The sequence below is a fragment of the Homo sapiens genome, chromosome 16, assembly GCF_000001405.40.
Source record: "Homo sapiens chromosome 16, GRCh38.p14 Primary Assembly".
Taxonomy (NCBI): Eukaryota; Metazoa; Chordata; class Mammalia; order Primates; family Hominidae; genus Homo; species Homo sapiens.
The window spans coordinates 1,000,246-1,016,280 of NC_000016.10; the positions used below are offsets into that span (position 1 = coordinate 1,000,246).

General features: G+C 62.8%; 4 annotated features.

Annotated features, from left to right (window-relative positions):
* Positions 1,657-2,313: an enhancer, noted in NCBI's record as "H3K27ac-H3K4me1 hESC enhancer chr16:1051902-1052558 (GRCh37/hg19 assembly coordinates)". NCBI's record gives its function as "activates a minimal SCP1, AML or CMV promoter by ChIP-STARR-seq in naive H9 embryonic stem cells {active_cell/tissue: H9 hESC(naive)}" and the evidence as "EXISTENCE:reporter gene assay evidence [ECO:0000049][PMID:30033119]".
* Positions 3,965-4,014: an enhancer, noted in NCBI's record as "active region_10216". NCBI's record gives its function as "activates an Ori minimal core promoter by ATAC-STARR-seq in GM12878 lymphoblastoid cells {active_cell/tissue: GM12878}" and the evidence as "EXISTENCE:reporter gene assay evidence [ECO:0000049][PMID:35858748]".
* Positions 9,738-10,357: an enhancer, noted in NCBI's record as "H3K27ac-H3K4me1 hESC enhancer chr16:1059983-1060602 (GRCh37/hg19 assembly coordinates)". NCBI's record gives its function as "activates a minimal SCP1, AML or CMV promoter by ChIP-STARR-seq in naive H9 embryonic stem cells {active_cell/tissue: H9 hESC(naive)}" and the evidence as "EXISTENCE:reporter gene assay evidence [ECO:0000049][PMID:30033119]".
* Positions 14,111-14,312: a silencer, noted in NCBI's record as "fragment chr16:1064356-1064557 (GRCh37/hg19 assembly coordinates)". NCBI's record gives its function as "represses an EF-1alpha promoter that drives an FKBP-Casp9 reporter gene in an ReSE screen in K562 erythroleukemia cells {active_cell/tissue: K562}" and the evidence as "EXISTENCE:reporter gene assay evidence [ECO:0000049][PMID:32094911]".

Here is a 16,035-nt window from a genome sequence, read left to right on the forward strand (position 1 = left end):
CGGCCATGGGACCGGGGACAGGGACCCCAGTTCCCTGACCTCCAGCCAGGAGCCCCAGGCCCTGGCGATGCCATGTGCACAGCGCACTCCCCGTGGCCTCGGCTGGGTGATGACCTGGGTCTGGGTGGGAACCTCGCTTCTCGGCCATGTGGGTTAAACTCGGGGATCTCGGCCTGCTTTGGAAAATTGAAACCGTATTTTTGCTCCTGGAGCTCCCCAAACCATTTGCACCTGGACTCGGAAAGCTCATTTGGACACAGAAGCCGTTTCTCCCCAGGAGATTTGATTTTCCCTGGAATGCCAGCAGGAAAGTCGGTGGGAAGCCAGGTTGGGGGTGTGGGAGGGCAAGCAGAGCGGGGGTGCGGGGAACAGGTGCCCCCGGCTCTGTGCAGTGGCTGTGGGTCCTGGGCTCCTCACTCAGCCCATCTGGGTTGCTCCTCTCCTGAAGACCAGGCCGTGCAGAGCAGGTTTCACGGGGTGGACACACGTCCCAGCTCATCACATGGCGGGGGCTCCTCCTGGCCTGGAAGGAAGGACAGCAGTGCGGTCTCCATGACTGGGGAGAGGGAGCTGATGGCTCCATTTGGCGGGGGGGGGTGGCGGCCGGGAAAAGCCCCCGGGACCCTGACACTGGCAGCTGTCTAAAGTCCGTGAAATCCCAACCACTGCTGGCCACGGCATCCTGGGCCCCGACGTGCAGGCTGCCCAGTGGCGCCTCTAGGAAAAACTGCTGGGTGTGAGGGGCAGATATGGGGGCTGCGAAGTGAAGCCTGGAGGTTGCGGAGTATCCACTGGAGGATCAGCCTGTCGGGGTTAGGCCCAGGGGTCCCCAAGCTGAGGGATGTTCAGGGCTAAAGCCAGGAGAGTCCCAGGCAGACGTGTGGACGGTGGGTCTCCCCTGTTCAGCTCCCCAGGCGCTGGCCTTTCGGGTCTGGAGGTGCTGCCCCTCCCATTCAGTGGGGTAGGGCCCTGCCTCGGTGCCCCCGGGACACGGCAGCTATGAGCACCTGGCTGGAGTGCTGAGGGCCTCCCAGAGCTGGGGCCCAGGTGGCTTGGAGATGCCTCCTCAGCTCAGCATTTACCGCGGGGTAGGCAGCTCCAGATGCCTGGAGCTGAGGGCCTGGCTGCGGGGGTGTGGCAGTGCCACATGGCTGCCCAAGTAAAGTGCCATGAGCCGAGTGGTTTAGAAAACAAACCTGTCCTCTCACAGGTCTGCAGGCCAAAAGTCTGAGATCAAGGCTTGGGCAGGGCCACGCTCCCCAATGAGACTCCAGAGGAAGATCCTTCCTGCCTATTCCAGCTCCTGGTGGCTCCAGGTGTCCCTTGGCTTGTGGCCACATCGCTCCAACCTCTGTCCCGGCTTCACGCGGCTGTCTCCTCTGCATGTCTGTCTCCTCCTCTGCTTCTATGAGGACACTCATCGCTGGATTTAGGTCCCACCCAGATAACCCAGGATGACCCCACTGCAAGATCTTTTGATCAATTACATCTGCAAAGACTCCATTTCCCAACCAAGCCAGAGTCACAGATTCCCAGGGTCAGCTGTGGCCACCGTTCAGCCTGAAACATGCCGCGTCACCTCACCCAAGCCTCACATCGCCCCGTGAGGAAGCCACCGTGGAGGTGAAGTTCAAGTTCTCACCACCTGCCCTGTATGATTTCTCCTCCAGGGAACCCTGGGTGTCCACGGAGGGGCCGATGGCTGTCCCTGGCCCGTCATGGGGCCCCAGCTCTGACACCTGAGCTTCTGAATTCACTTGTTTAGTTTTTCAGGAACATTTTTTCCTTCGGTGCCTTTCCAGGGAGCCCCAGGGGTGGGGGCGTGGAGTTCTCCCCTGGGCCTCCGAGGGGCTTCTGCTGCCTGAGGGGTCCGTCCAAACTGTAGCTCAGATCCGCCGCTGCTGCCCTCCTGGCCCAGCGGAATGCTGGCACCTCCAGGAGCTCTTGGCAGTGAGCCACGTGGTGGACAGTCCCTTGCTCTGAGGGCCCTGTCACCTGGGCACAGTTCAGGGTCCCTTGGAACTGGAGATGTGGCAGGAGGGAGGCCCAGCCCCCTTCTGGGCTCCCTGAGGCTCCACTGAATCTTTGGAGGGGAGAGACGCTGGATTCCTGGTGGTGACCTGAGGGCTCACACAGGTAAACCAAGCAAGACCGTGGGTCTGTGGCACCCCACATCTGTGCACCTGTGCAACCGCAGTCTGATGTCCCTCCCCGGTGAAGGGACCCGCACATGTGCACCTGCCGCAGCCCCGATGTCCCTCCCCGGGTGAAGGAACCCACGGACGTGGCTCATCCATACCGCGGAACGTGAGCCATGAAAAGGGGCAGCCTCGGCTCAGCCACCGCAGGGAAGGACTCGACACACGCCGAGCAGAAGAGGCCAGGCCTGAGAGGCCACCTGCGATTCCATCTGCGGAAATGCCAGAAAGGGAGGTCCGCAGACGCAAGAGCTGGACTGGGGGGACGGCCGAGGGGCGAGGGGTTTCCTTCCGGATGAAATTGCCCCAGAACGACATGCAGGGCGTGGGGAGGTGGCTGCAAGATACTGCGGCCCCGCTGGATGCCACAGCACCCCATGCCGTGAACGGCTAATTCTACGCCATGTGGATCTCACCTCAATCAAACAATTGGAAGATTCCCAGCAGCTGAGATGACTCACGTTCGGGGGTGACTCATCCAGGCCACCGGCATCGCGTCGCTTAAAGACAAGCCTGACCTTTCCCCAGAAGCCTCAAGACCACAGTGGCCTCCCACGGCGGAGGGCAGTGCCCAGGGCTGGTGTTCATCCAGGGCACGGGACAGGCCTGAAGTGCAGACATTTCCTCTGCCAAGCAGTGGACGCAGGCTCGGCCCCCGCTGGCCAGGGGCGGCTCTAAGTTTGGAAAAACGAAAGTCCCGTGGCAGAGTGGGCCCCTGGGGTGGGATCCTGGAGCCAGGGCTGGGCCAAGGTGTGGGTTGAGAGACCCGGGGGCCTTCCCTGCAGCTGGCATGGAGTGATGGGGAGGGGGTGCTGGGTGGAGAGGGAGCTATAGAGGCCACAGGAGGGGTCCCTAGCCTCCAGCACCATGGCCGTGGTCTGGGGGGCATCCTGGCAGCCCCATGGAGTGGCCGTGTCCAGGGACTGAGCTCCAAATGAGGAACCGTGCGGGGTCCAGAGACCCTGCACTCACGCGGCCGGGCCCCACCTGCTGCCACAGCCCCCTCATGGGCCTCGCTCACACCCACTCCTGCACACAGCATGCGGCCCCACAGCCCCACGCCAGACAGTGTCCAGGCTTTGTGGAAAGTGCTGCTCTGACGGAAGAGGCCTGCGCAGGTCCTGCTGGCCAGGAGCCCGGTGGTGGTCCCGGGAAGGGGTGGATGGCTGCCAGCTGCTTTCCTGGGAAAAGCCCAGAGCCCCTCATGCCCTGCACTCCTCTGATGGCAGCCTGGACACGGCACAAGGGGACGCCCTGGAAAGCCCTCGGCACGCGGTCGTGGCGGCATCAGGCCTCACGAGCCAGGGCCCATCAGAGGCGGAATCTGACCTGGGCTGAACTCAGGCCCCCAAGGTGCACTGGTTGAAGCCTTAGAGGAGGGACACGGGGGGCTGCGACCCCACAGGCTGCTGTCCTTAGAGGAGGGACACGGGGGGCTGCGACCCCACAGGCTGCTGCCCTTAGAGGAGGAGGCAAGGTCCACGGCAGGCACAGAGGGACCAGCCCGAAGGCCCCTCAGGGGTCTGGAGGGCTCTACCCCCTGAGGTCGTCCACTGTCCTGGCCCGAGGACCCTCTGCTGCCCTGTGTGGACCCCCTGGGCATGAAGCACATAGGGCAGTGGGTGGCACTGACGGAGCAGCCTTCTGGAATGTGCCGCCCTGGCTCGTGCCGGCCCCGCGTGTGGCCCCGGGAGCTCAATTTCCTGACAACACTCAGTCCTGAGGTTTCCTGCCCCCTCAGAACCATTGATGAGTGTTTTGTGGTTAAGAAAAAGAAAAAGAAAACAAAACCAAAACCTGTTATTTTTCCCAAGGTGAACGTGAGCGCCCTGTGAGGAGGCCCAGGCGATTTCCCACCCTTCACATGCGTCTCCAAGCCCGGAGCACGGCAGGCACAGGAGTGACCAGCAAGCCTGGCCCCAGCCCCAGCCCCAGCCCCACTCCTGGGCCTGGGTCAGTATTGATTCAGGGAAGGTGGCTCCAGCCTTGCCCATGGTGCGGGGAGCATGTGGGGTGCCCCAGGAGGCTGTCCAGAGAGACCCCTGGAGCCGGGTATCCACACAGACACGCAGGCGGGGAGGGGGCAGAGATGGGGGAGTGAGAAGAGATGGGGGCTGGGCGCCGTGGCTCATGCCTGTAATCCCAGCACTTTGGGAAACTGAGATGGGTGAATTGCTTGATCTCAGGAGTTCAAGACCAGCCTGGCAACATGGCAAGACCCCATCTCTACAAAAAATACAAAAATTAGCTGGGCATGGTGGTGTGTACTTGCAGTCCCAGCCAATCAGGAGGCTGAGGTAGGAGGATCACTGGGGCCCAGGAGGCAGAGGCTGCAGTGAGCCAAGATCACACCGCTGCACTCCAGCCTGGGCGACAGAGTGAGACCCTATCTCGAGAAAAAAAAAAAAAACAGATGGGGAGGGAGAAGAGACGGGGGAGGGGGTAGAGATGGGGGAGGGGACAGAGGGAGCAGAGATGGGGGAGGGGGTAGAGATGAGGGAGGGGACAGAGGGAGCAGAGACAGGGGAGGGTGTAGAGATGGGGGAGGGGACAGAGGGAGAAGAGAAGGGGGAGGGGGTAGAGATGGGGGAGGGGACAGAGGGAGAAGAGAAGGGGAGGGGGTAGAGATGGGGGAGGGGACAGAGGGAGCAGAGATGGGGGAGGGGGTAGAAATGGGGGAGGGGACAGAGGGAGCAGGGATGGGGGAGGGGACAGAGGGAGAAGAGACGGGGGAGGGGGTAGAGATGGGGGGAGGGGACAGAGGGACAAGAGATGGGGGTGTTCCTGTAGAGGCCCCAGGTTCACCTAGCCCAGCTGGCTCTCTCCACAGCATCCTGAACCCAAGGACTTTTCAGCTTCTTGCTTACCTCCTAAGACAGAGAGCTCATTCCCTGTGCAGGCCTCCTGTGCTGGGGTTGGGGAGCTTGGAGTGTGGCAAAGTGTCTGATTCCTTCTTCTTCCTTCAGCTGTGCACCCAGGGTCTGGAGCGACAGAGCTGGGCGTGTTACAAAGCCCCTCACCGTGTCGGGGCAGGCGTGCTGGGGACGGAGCTGGGCACCAGCTTTTGTGGTCCTGTCCAGCAACCCCCGCAAGGCTAGCGAGGGAGGTGGGTGTGAACAAGTGAGTGAATGGAAAATGGGCAGATGGATGTGTGGTGTAGACCCAGGAGGACTTGGCGCTCCTTCTGTCTGGAGAGGAGTGAACCCTCCCCGCAACACCCGATTGGCAGATTTTCTTCCAGCCTCCACGGTGGCCGAGCCAAGTGTTATAAAAACACAGGAGAGTATGTCAGGACAGGCAGGGCCACACTTTGCCGCAAGGTGACAGGTTAAACAAATCCCTCCTCAGAATTTACTGCCTTCATTTTTGCTTCAGAGCAAGGCCCTGCCACGGGATGTATTTCATGCAGAAATATCTCCCCTGAGCGCCCTGGGGGGCAGGACGCCTGCTCGCAGAAGGCGGCTCTAGATTTTTATATGAACAAAGGGACCGTCCTGGTTGACACGGTGAAACCCCGTCTCTACTAAAAATACAAAAAATTAGCCGGGCGCGGTGGCAGGTGCCTGTAGTCCCAGCTACTCGGGAGGCTGAGGCAGGAGAATGGTGTGAACCCGGGAGGCAGAGCTTGCAGTGAGCTGAGATTTGGCCACTGCACTCCAGCCTGGGCGACACAGCAAGACTCCATCTAAAAAAAAAAAAAAGACAAAAAACTCACCCAAACCAAGTCCTCTACAGAAAGACATTTGTAAAACTTACTTTCCAGCCATGAGTAAATCAGCGGGTAAGAGGGAATTTCCATCTGAAGTGGGCAGTGATGATTTTATTTCTTGATTGTGTGCTGATTTTGTTTTTTGGAAATGGTGTGGGGAGGGGAGGTGGTGGCACTGGGGGTCTGTGCCATGCTCCACTGTCCACCAGGAGCTGGGCCCCTGCCTCCCTCCCTATCAGGAATGGGGTGCAGGCGTTGGCCCAAGGGCATCACAAGGCCGATGGGACTTTAGAGAGAGCTGGGGCGGAGCTTCAGGGACTGGGCACGTGGGGTAGGATTTGGGTTATGAGAGGTGGACCCCTCCCCTGCGCCCACCACTCAGCCCCCAGCCCCCAGCACCAGGGGAGGGCTCTGTGCTGGGACAGCTGATGTGGGCTCTTGGGACTGAAGGGACACTGGGCCTTGGATGGGTCCTGGGACCGGTCCTGACCCTGCAGCATGTCAGCCGGTTCAGCCTCACATCCCTGCTCCCTCTGCGGCCACCTCCCAGATGGATCCCTGGAGCTGCGCAGGGGACCTGGCCACCCCACCTGCCCTGTCCACGGAAACCATCACCCAAGCTTGGAGCTGTGCAGGGGACCCGGCCACCCCGTCCCTCCTGTCCACAGAAACCATCACTCAAGCTTGGAGCTGCGCAGGGGACCCGGCCACCCCGTCTGTCCTGTCCACGGAAACCGTCACCCAAACTTGGAGCTGTGCAGGGGACCCGGCCACCCTGTCCGCCCTGTCCACGGAAACCGTCACCCAAACTTGGAGCTGTGCAGGGGATCCGGCCACCCCGTCTGTCCTGTCCGCGGAAACCGTCGCCTGAGCTTGCTCCACGTTCCAGACCGGGGCAGCGGGTTCCCCAAGGCTCCATGGCCGTGGGATGTGAGGGCCTGGAGCCTTCCCGGAGCAGGATGGAGGGGAGCAAGGCGGGAGGGGTGGCGGACAGCGAGTCCAGTGCCTTCTTCTAGATGGGGACAGGCTTTGGTGCTGGGGGACAGAGGGCTGGGCCCTGGGATCGTGGCAAGACAGGCCATGGTGGCCAGCCCGCTAAGTCATGTCTCAGGGAACATGGCAGGAGTCCTCGTGCCTCTTGGGAGCAGACCTGCAAAGGCATTTATTTAGGGCTCTGGGGTGCGGCCCAGGGAGGCTGGAGGAGGCATTTCCCAGGTGGCAGCTCCTGTTCTCTCCTCCCCGAACACCAGGCATGGCCAAGGGGGATCCTGGTGCCTCTCTGCTCCGGTGGGTGTGAGTCACCAGGGCACACAGGCGAGGCCATGGGTGGTGGCTGTGCCTCGGTCTGGCCAGACGGGTCATGTCTCCACCAGGCGCCTGGAATAGCTCTCTGGGGCATCCAGCTCAGGGAAAAGGGTGTGGGCGCCCTGCAGGACGGACGTGGCTGGAGCTGCAGCAGCCCTGCCAGGTAACTGGGACCCAGCCAAGGGTCACACTCTCTGGCCCAGAAGCCAGGAGCCGACCGTGCCCCATCCCTCCCTATTACAGCCCCGCATCCTTCTCCCACTCCTGCTCGGCTGTGCCGTGCCCTTGAGGGGAACCTGGCCAGCTTGGTGCCAAGTGCTGTCACTCCCAGCAGGCAGCGTCCTTCCCATGGCCCAGGAGGGGTGGGGGTTCCTGGGATGCTCCCACCTGGGACTCCAGACTCTAGCAGGGATCCCTGCTGTCTGAACCCCTGTGGCTGACCCCACGGCCCCTGGCCCCGTTTCCTGGTACACCCCATCTCTGTCCCTGGTGGAGCTCCAGCCCTTCATTCCCCTCTCCTCATCACCAAGTCCCCGGGCCCAGGCTTCCCGGTTGGGCAGTGGAAAGCCAGGACATCCTTGGAGGACCCAGGAAGCCCCTTCAAGGGGGACCGTGATGGCTGAGGCCCCAGGACCTCGCGGGGTGATGGATGGGGGTGGACGTTGGTGCCAACCAGGCAGTCTCCAAGCTGGGCCGAGTTTTGGAAATGACCTCGTCTTCCAACCTTCCGCTTCACAGACGGGGCACAGAGGGCAGGGACCTGGGGCCCGTGGGAGGGGATGGCCTCTGAGAGTCTCCAGCGAGGACCCACGGGGCGGTGGCCATGATGAGGGCACCTGCGTTTGTGTCTGGAGCTGCCATACGAAGCACCACCAACTAGGAGGCTCAGGACAACAGAGAGCCCCTCACAGCTCTGGAGGCCAGAGGACCCCTCACAGCTCTGGGGGCCAGAGGGCCAAAGTCCAGCGGCCAGCAGGGCTGGTTTCTCCTGAGACAGGGAGGATCCTCCTGGCCTCTGCCAGCACCTGCTGCTGCCCGTGCTCCCTGGCTGGCGGCCACATCGCTCTGCCTGCGTGTTCGTGGGTCCTCCTGTGAGCCTCTCCTCTCCTCCTTATACGGGCACTCGGGCTAAGACCCACTGACCCCATCCTGGAACCAGTTACACCTGCCATGACGCTGTTTCCAAATAAAGGCACGTCCTGAGGCTCTGTGGACGTGAGTCCTGGGGGACACTGTTCAACCCACTACAGTGCCCAGTTGTAGTTCAGGAAGTTGAGGTCCAGAGAGATGGGGGAGCCCCCAGACTCATCCACACCAGAGACCTGTCACAGATGGGGACCCCAGACACTGGAGAGAGTGATCTGGTTTTAGGGGGTCACCCAGGGAGCTGGAGAACACAGAGAGCTGGAAAGAAGTGGTCAGGGCTGCTGCCTCAGGTGGGCGTCTGCCAAGGAGACTGTGGAGATCTCAGGGGTGGTGAGAGGCTGAGGGTCCATGAACCAGGCCGGATGGCAAGCCAGAATCGGGCTTTGAGAGGTGGCTTTGGGCTGTGATTTAAATAAAGGAAGGGGCCAGGTGCAGTGGCTCATGCTTGTCATCCCAGCACTCTGGGAGGCCGAGGCGGGTGGATCATATTAGGTCATGAGTTTGAGACCAGCCTGGCCAACGTGGCAAAACCCTGTGTCTACTAAAAGTACAAAAATTAGCCGGGTGTAGTGGTGGGCGCCTGTAATCCCAGCACTTTGGGAGGCCAAAGCAAGTGGATCTCCTGAGGGCAGGAGTTCGAGACCTGCTTGGCCAACATGGTAAAACCCCATCTCTACTAAAAATACAAAAATTAGCCAGGCGTGGTGGTGGGCGCCTGTAATCCCAGCTACTCGGGAGGCTGAGGCAGGAGAATCGGTATAAATAAATAAATAAATAAAGGAAGGGAGCATTCGGGGGAATGAGTCAGGGAGACTCCAGGCCTGGAGGATGGGGCAGGGGCCAGCACACCGGGGTCTGTGAGCAGTGGGGAGGCAGCCAGGGCAGGCCCTGCACGCAGCAGGTGCTCAGAGGATGCTAGCAGGAAGCACGTTGCTGAGAGGAGGGCGAAGTGTCAGCGTGGGGCTGGCAGAGGGAGACGCCAGCGAGGCAGGGCTGGTTGGCCCAGGAGCTGCCCCGGTGCCAGGAATTTGGGTGGGCAGGAGCCCGAGAGCTCCCATCTGCACCCACCTGTCAATCCCAGGCAGCCCCAGGCTCTGGGGTGGAAAAAGAGAGGAGCAGGTTGTTCCCAAGGGAGGCAAAGTGCCTCCAGGAGGCCGGGCGACCACACAGCCTGCAAGTAGCGGGGAGCCCGGCCCCAGTGCTGGCGGAGGAGCAAGTGTGGGGGCTCTGGGGTGCGATGGGGCGCTCGGAGTCCCCAGGAAGGGGCATGGGGCACAGGGATCCTGAAACTCAGTGTGTGAGGGAGAGGGGAGACAGGTCTGGAGGAGCCAGGGACACCAGGAGGGGCTGGGCGTGGGAGCCCTTCTAGCCCAGCCAGCGACGAAGGCCCACAGGGACCTAGGAGAAGAGGAGGTACCCCTCGTGTGGGGCGGGGGCCGGGCCGGCCTTGCACGTTGATGATGCTTGCAAGTGGGCCTCTGGGGCCGAGCAGGGCCCCCCGAGCAGTGCAGAAGCTATGCGGGGACCTCTGCAGGGTCCTGGGCTGCCTCTGTGCCTCTCAGCTGAGTGGGGGATCCAACGCTCCCAGGCTACTGTGTCCACTGTGGATGGAGGGGTCCGGCCTGAGGGGAGTGTGGGGGGCGTGGTGGGGGGAAAAGGCCACCAGGAAGCGCTGCTCTGTGGCAAGGGCGGCAGGGAGGGGGACACAGCTGCACAGGTGGGGAGCCTGGTGTCTGGTCCCAGCCCGCTTCTGCTTCCTTACCCGGCAGCTGCCCAGGCACAGCCGCAGGGAAGCCAGGCTGCATTCACGGCATCTCCGGGAGAGACAGGGCCCCTTTCCGGCCCCCTGTTCAGCAAGTCCTCCCCATGGCTGGGGGAGGGGCCAGGCGTCGCAGCGACCCGTCTGTGATTGTGAACCCATAAAAGTGGCTGGTGGGAGGCCGGGCAGAGGCAGCGGCGGGCTCGGAGGGGCCCTGAAGGACATGCCCCGTGAAAGTGGAGGGCCCAGGCGGCCACACGGTGGTGACCCCATCGTGCAAAGTACTGCCCATTCCCAAGCGGAAGAATGTGTGGAAACGTGTGTGGCTGTGACACGGAACCCAGCGGCAGCCGCTGGGCAGGAGGGGCTGCAGCGTGTGGCCCCCGGGTGGCTCCAACCAAACGGGCCAAGCTGAGGCTGTTCCCACTCGGGGGCCGCCCACTGTGTGTCCACATGGCCGTGGCCCCATCCCGGGACAGGGCTGATCAGGTTGCCCTGCACTGTTGTGGCTTCGGTGTCTGTGGCAAAATGAGACCCCCACCTCTGAGAGACGTGTGGCAGGCGGGGCAGGCGGCCTCAGTCCTGTGAGTGCCTTGCCACAGGCTTTTGGCTTTGCTGGTCTCCAGGCACATGGAGAGACAGACGCTGGCTGAGTGCGTCCTAGGCTGGGTTCCAGGGTGGTCCCAGGAGCGCCGGCAGTGAGCAGTTCAGGGCTGTGGGTGCGGGGCTTGGTCCAGCAGGCAGGAGCAGCCCCGCCCGGGCAAGCCTCCCTGGAGGGAGACAGAGGAGACACAGGGCAGAGACGCAGGGCAGAGACATAGGGCAGAGACACAGCGCAGAGCGGCCAGGGCAGAGACGTAGGACAGAGACGCAGCGCAGAGCGGCCAGGGCAGAGATGCAGGGCAGAGACACAGCGTAGAGCGGCCAGGGCAGAGACGCAGGGCAGAGACGCAGGGCAGAGACACAGGGCAGAGACGCAGGGCAAAGCGGCAGGGCAGAGACGCAGGGCAAAGCGGCAGGGCAGAGACGCAGGGCAAAGCGGCAGGGCAGAGACGCAGGGCAAAGCGGCAGGGCAGAGACGCAGGGCAAAGCGGCAGGGCAGAGACGTAGGGCAGAGCGGCAGGGCAGAGACACAGGGCAGAGCGGCAGGGCAGAGATGCAGGGCAGAGCGGCCAGGGGCCCAGAAGCTGGAAGAGGCGGGAAGGACCCTCACCTGGGGCTTCCGGAGGGAGCACAGCTCTGCTCACACCTCGATTTTAGGCCTGTCTCCAGGCTGCGGGAGAGGACATCGCTGCAGTTTTCAGCTGTGCCATTGGTGGTACTCAGAGCCGGCATTCCCTTCCTGCAGCAGCTGGCCTCGGCGACCCTCACTCCACTATGGCAGGCGTCCCCTGCCTGTCTCCGCACCGTGCCTCAGCCCTGCTCTGGTCCCACAAGGGCTGCAGCTGCCCCGACTCTCCCAGGGCAGAGAGACAAACGGGGGAGCAGAAAGCAGAGTGACCGGGAATGTGCCTGGCGGTCAGGTGGAAGGCCACAGACCCCCGAGGAAGCAGACGTCGTGTGTGGCCTGCCTTGGCGTCCAGGAGACCATCTCCTCCGGTGGGGTCAGACCACAGAGGGGCCCTCTCTGTCTCTGCCCCTTTCCCTGGTGTGAGCAGGAGCACCCGGGCGACAGGGGCGCCTCTTCCTTGCTGCCCCACCCAGAGGGCAGCACACAGCTCAGTGCAGGAGGGACAGAGACCTTCAGGCCCGAATTACCTCCGGCCAACACTCAGCCTGCCCGCAGGACCTCGGGCCACCGTGGTCCTGTCCGCCCGATATTCTTCCAAGTCACCCTCAGCTTCGAGTCTACTTTGAAAGGAGACTCCCCATGGCAGGTTTGAGACACTGCCGGGGTCCCTTCCTGTGCACATTGGAAGAGACGTGGAGGCTCCGGCAGAACGATCTGAGCACCTGATTCCGCACTGGGGCCGCAGCGCGGGCTCCCTTTCAGGGCGTTGGGGGCCACGCTTTGCCCCTCTGTTTAGTAACACTCAGGGGACCCTGAAGGCAGGCAGGCAGGGTCCGCGGGATGGGGAGTCTCACAGCAGCCCACACCCCAGCATCTTGCTGGGAGGAGCTGGGGAGCTGGGTAAATCGGGGAAAATCCATCTCCAGGGCTCCCCTGAGGCTGTCCCCATTCCCAGGAAGGCAGGAATTACCCCACCCTCGGCCAGCCTCTGCCTGCCTTTCCCAAGATGATTCCAGAGCCCAGCAGCTCCTCTGGGACCCACATGGACTAGGCAGGCGGCTGGAGTGCTGTGGAGCACGGGGAAGGGCCATGAGAGCCTGGGACCCTCAGGCTCAGGACACCATCCTGGTGGCTGCTGATGGGGGTCAGCATTCTGCCCCTGCATCCTGCCCCTCTGCCCAGGGTCCGGAGGACTCACCGGGCTGTGCCCCCACCTGTGTGCCCTCCCCATGTCAAAGAGCAGGCGGGGGCGCCTGACAGGGTGAGGCCGAGGGTCCAACCCTCAGCCCCATACTGGCCGCAGGTGGTTCCTGAAACTTGTGGGACTGGAACCTCCTGTTGGCTGAGACCCCGGGGGGTGGTTGCAGAGGTGGGGCTGGTCTGGGAGTAAGCAGGGCAGGACACCTGCGGGGTTGCTTGGCCTCAGGTGGGCAGAGGCTGTTGGGGGCCTGGAGAGCCTGGTGTGACCTGGGGGCAGGCTGGGGTGGGGGATGAAACCCACAGGTGCCCCCAGTCAGATGCACACCCAGGACACACATGCGCACACGCAGGACACACGTGTGCACACCCAGGACACATGCGTGCACACCCAGGACACATGCACGCACACCCAGGACACGTGCACACACAGGACACACGTGTGTGCACCCAGGACACACGAGTGCACACATAGGACACACACGTGCACACCCAGGACACACGAGTGCACACCCAGGACACACCCGTGCACATGGAGGACACACCCATGCACACACAGGACACACATGTGCACACACAGGACACACACGTGTACCACTGTGCAGCCCTGCGCCCCCTCACTGCGTCCTGTTGCAGGCCTGTGTTGCTGTTCCATGTGCTGCCCTCTGCCTGCACGCAGGTGCCCATCGCCAGCGGGGCTGGGATCTTCCTGTGGTGCTCCTTGGCCCCTGCGTTCTGCCCGCCTAAGTGGCCCCTCCGGCTGGTCCTGAGCATCTGCTTGCTCAGCTCTGTCCTGGGCTGGGCTGGTGGCATTGAGGAGGAGCTGGCTGGGCGCTGGGTGAGGCAGGACCAACCCAGGACAGGTGTCCAGCTCTTGACAGGAGCTCCTGGCCCAGGCTGGTGGCTGGGGAGGGGCTGTAGCTGCCAGGGCTGGGAGCGCCTCCTCCACCTGCATCGGACCGTGCTCCGGAGGCCACGGTGCTGTGGAGGGTGGTGGCGGATCTTGGGCAGGCAGAGGCTGCCAGGGGGCCTGGGCGGGGCCTGGGGTGACCCAGGGGCAGGCCAGTGGGCTGTGGAGACTGGTGGTGCTCCAGAGGCCACAGTGCTCTGGGCTTAGAGCAGCTGCACCCGGAGGCATGCCCTGGACGTGGGTCCAACTCTGCGTCATGCAGCTGGGGGGCAATGGACGCGCCCCCCTTCCTGGCCTCGGTGTCCTCCCTGTAGCTGGGATGGCTGAGAGGAGAGGGGAGAGAGAATTGGTTTAGGGGACCTCGCCCAGGAAAGCTCATGATCCACTCTGTACCCACTACGGGGAGGGAGCCGAGTTGTGGGCCCAGGACACCCCTTCTGGCTGGGAGGAAACGGTGGAGGGGCCTGGAATTCCTCCAGGCCTGGGGGTTGCTGGGAGCCCTGATTTACGGCCCCAGCGCCTGCAGCCCCCCTCCTGCCCTGACAGTTCTCGTTGCAGCCTCCAGGTAGGAGGTGTTGGCGGGGCTGGGGCTGGGGTGGGTTTCCAGGTCCCCTCTGCCCATCCTAGGCTCAGTCCTGTGAGCTGAGTGGGTGAGCTGTGTCTGTGGGGCTGGGCTCTGTGTGTGGGCTTCTGAGGGGTGGCCCCGGGCCCCTGTGAGTCTCGGTCTTCCAGTCCGTGGAGTGGGGTGGACTTGTTCTCTGATGCTGGCCGAGGGGGCCTCCTACAGTGGGGGCTGTGGCCTCCATGGGTCCACCTGCCCATCTGTCTGGCCAGCCTGCCCTGCTGGAGGACTCAGTGCCCGAGGCCGGCTTCCTTGTTCACCAAAGGGAGAACAGAGCCATGCCTCCCTCCCAGCCCTGAGCAGGGCCTGTGCCGGGAGGGCCAGTTCCCCTGGCCCAGAGTCGTCTCCCTGTCCCAGCCAGGCTGGAGGTGAGTGGGACGAAGGGGTCCCCAGGGCAGGTGCTGCCGGTGAGGAGGAGAGTGGCTTCTCCGAGGTTGCAGCGAAGGACGGCCAGGTCTGGAGAGGATGTGGCCTGGCCAGTCCTGACGCCGGAGGTGACGTGGCGAGGGCTGGAGGTGGCTCCTCCTGGGAGGCTGCCCCGGGACAGAGGTCTGGGCTGCGTGTGTTGGGCCTGGCCCACTCTCCGTGGCCAGATGCCACCCACCCCCACATCTGCTCAGAGCAGAGGGCAGGCCAGCAGCTCATGCCAGGGTAGGCAAGGCCTGTAGCCCTCAGAGCCTGCAGCAGAACATAGAGCACACTCAGCCCACTGTTTCCCATGGATCCCTAGAGCCCCAGCACTGCTGAGATAGTCCCCAGGCCTCAGTCCCACCCCCAGACACACACACGCACACACACACACAGAACTCTTGTCGCCCAGTCTAAGCCAGCTCACCCGGCAGGAGCACATTCCTGCAGGCCCCGGGGATGCTGGTGTTTCAGGATTGTGTCGAGTCCACTGCAGAGGTTTCCAGAAGAGCCGACAAGAGGCGGACAGGGCGGTGGACAGGGCGGAGCTGCACTCACAGGGGTGGGCGCAGCCGTCCTGGGAGCAGGGGTCTTGGCTGAGGACCCCGGGCCCTTCTGCTTTGAGCTGTGGGTCTGAGGGGCCTCCGTGCGGGGCTGGCCCTGGGAACTGTGGTCACTTGAAGCCCACTCCTCCTGCTGATGTCCACCCAGGGACAGGCCTCCTCCAGCAGCTGGCCTCAGAGAGACAGCCGTGTGCCCAGACCCACAGGTCGCGTGCTTCTGCTCTATACAGCCTTCATGGGAGACTGGGGTCTCTCCAGCCAGGGCACCAACAAGCGCCCAGACCCATTCCTGGCCCTCGTGTTCATAAAATCCTTGTGGCTTCAAATATTTTTCAGACTTTAGTCGTGGTGGTTGTTGGAAAGGGCCAGCTTCCTGCTGCAATGATCCCTGAATCCTCTCCCCAAGCTCTGCAGGCCTGGTCTGATAGGTCACCCACAGTGGCGTCTCCTTGAACTTAAGAGCAGGCTGCAGGCCAGGCGCGGTGGCTCAAGCCTGTAATCCCAGCACTTTGGGAGGCCGAGGCGGGTGGATCACCTGAGGTCGGGAGTCCGAGACCAGCCTGGCCAACATGGTGAAACCCTGTCTCTACTAAAAATACAAAAATTAGCCAGGCGTGGTGGTAGGTGCCTGTAATCTCAGCTACTCGGGAGGCTGAAGCAGGAGAATATTGAAACCAGGAGGTGGAGGTGACAGTGAGCCAAGATCACACCACTGCACTCCAGTCTGGGCAACAGAGCGAGAATCTGTCTCAAAAAAAAAAAAAAGAAAGAAAGAACCGGCTGCAGAGGGCCCTGGGTTGGAAAGAGGGGGCATGTGGTGGCCCCTGCAGGGGGTGACATCCTGCGGGGGTGACATCTGCCTTCTAGGGAATAAGACCCTGAAGCAGGCAGGTGGGCGAGGTGGGGAGGCCTCACAGGGTTGGGAGCAAAGGCTCCAATCCCAACCACTGAGGTGCTGGTCTGGCTTCTGCCGTGTATCAACTGGTG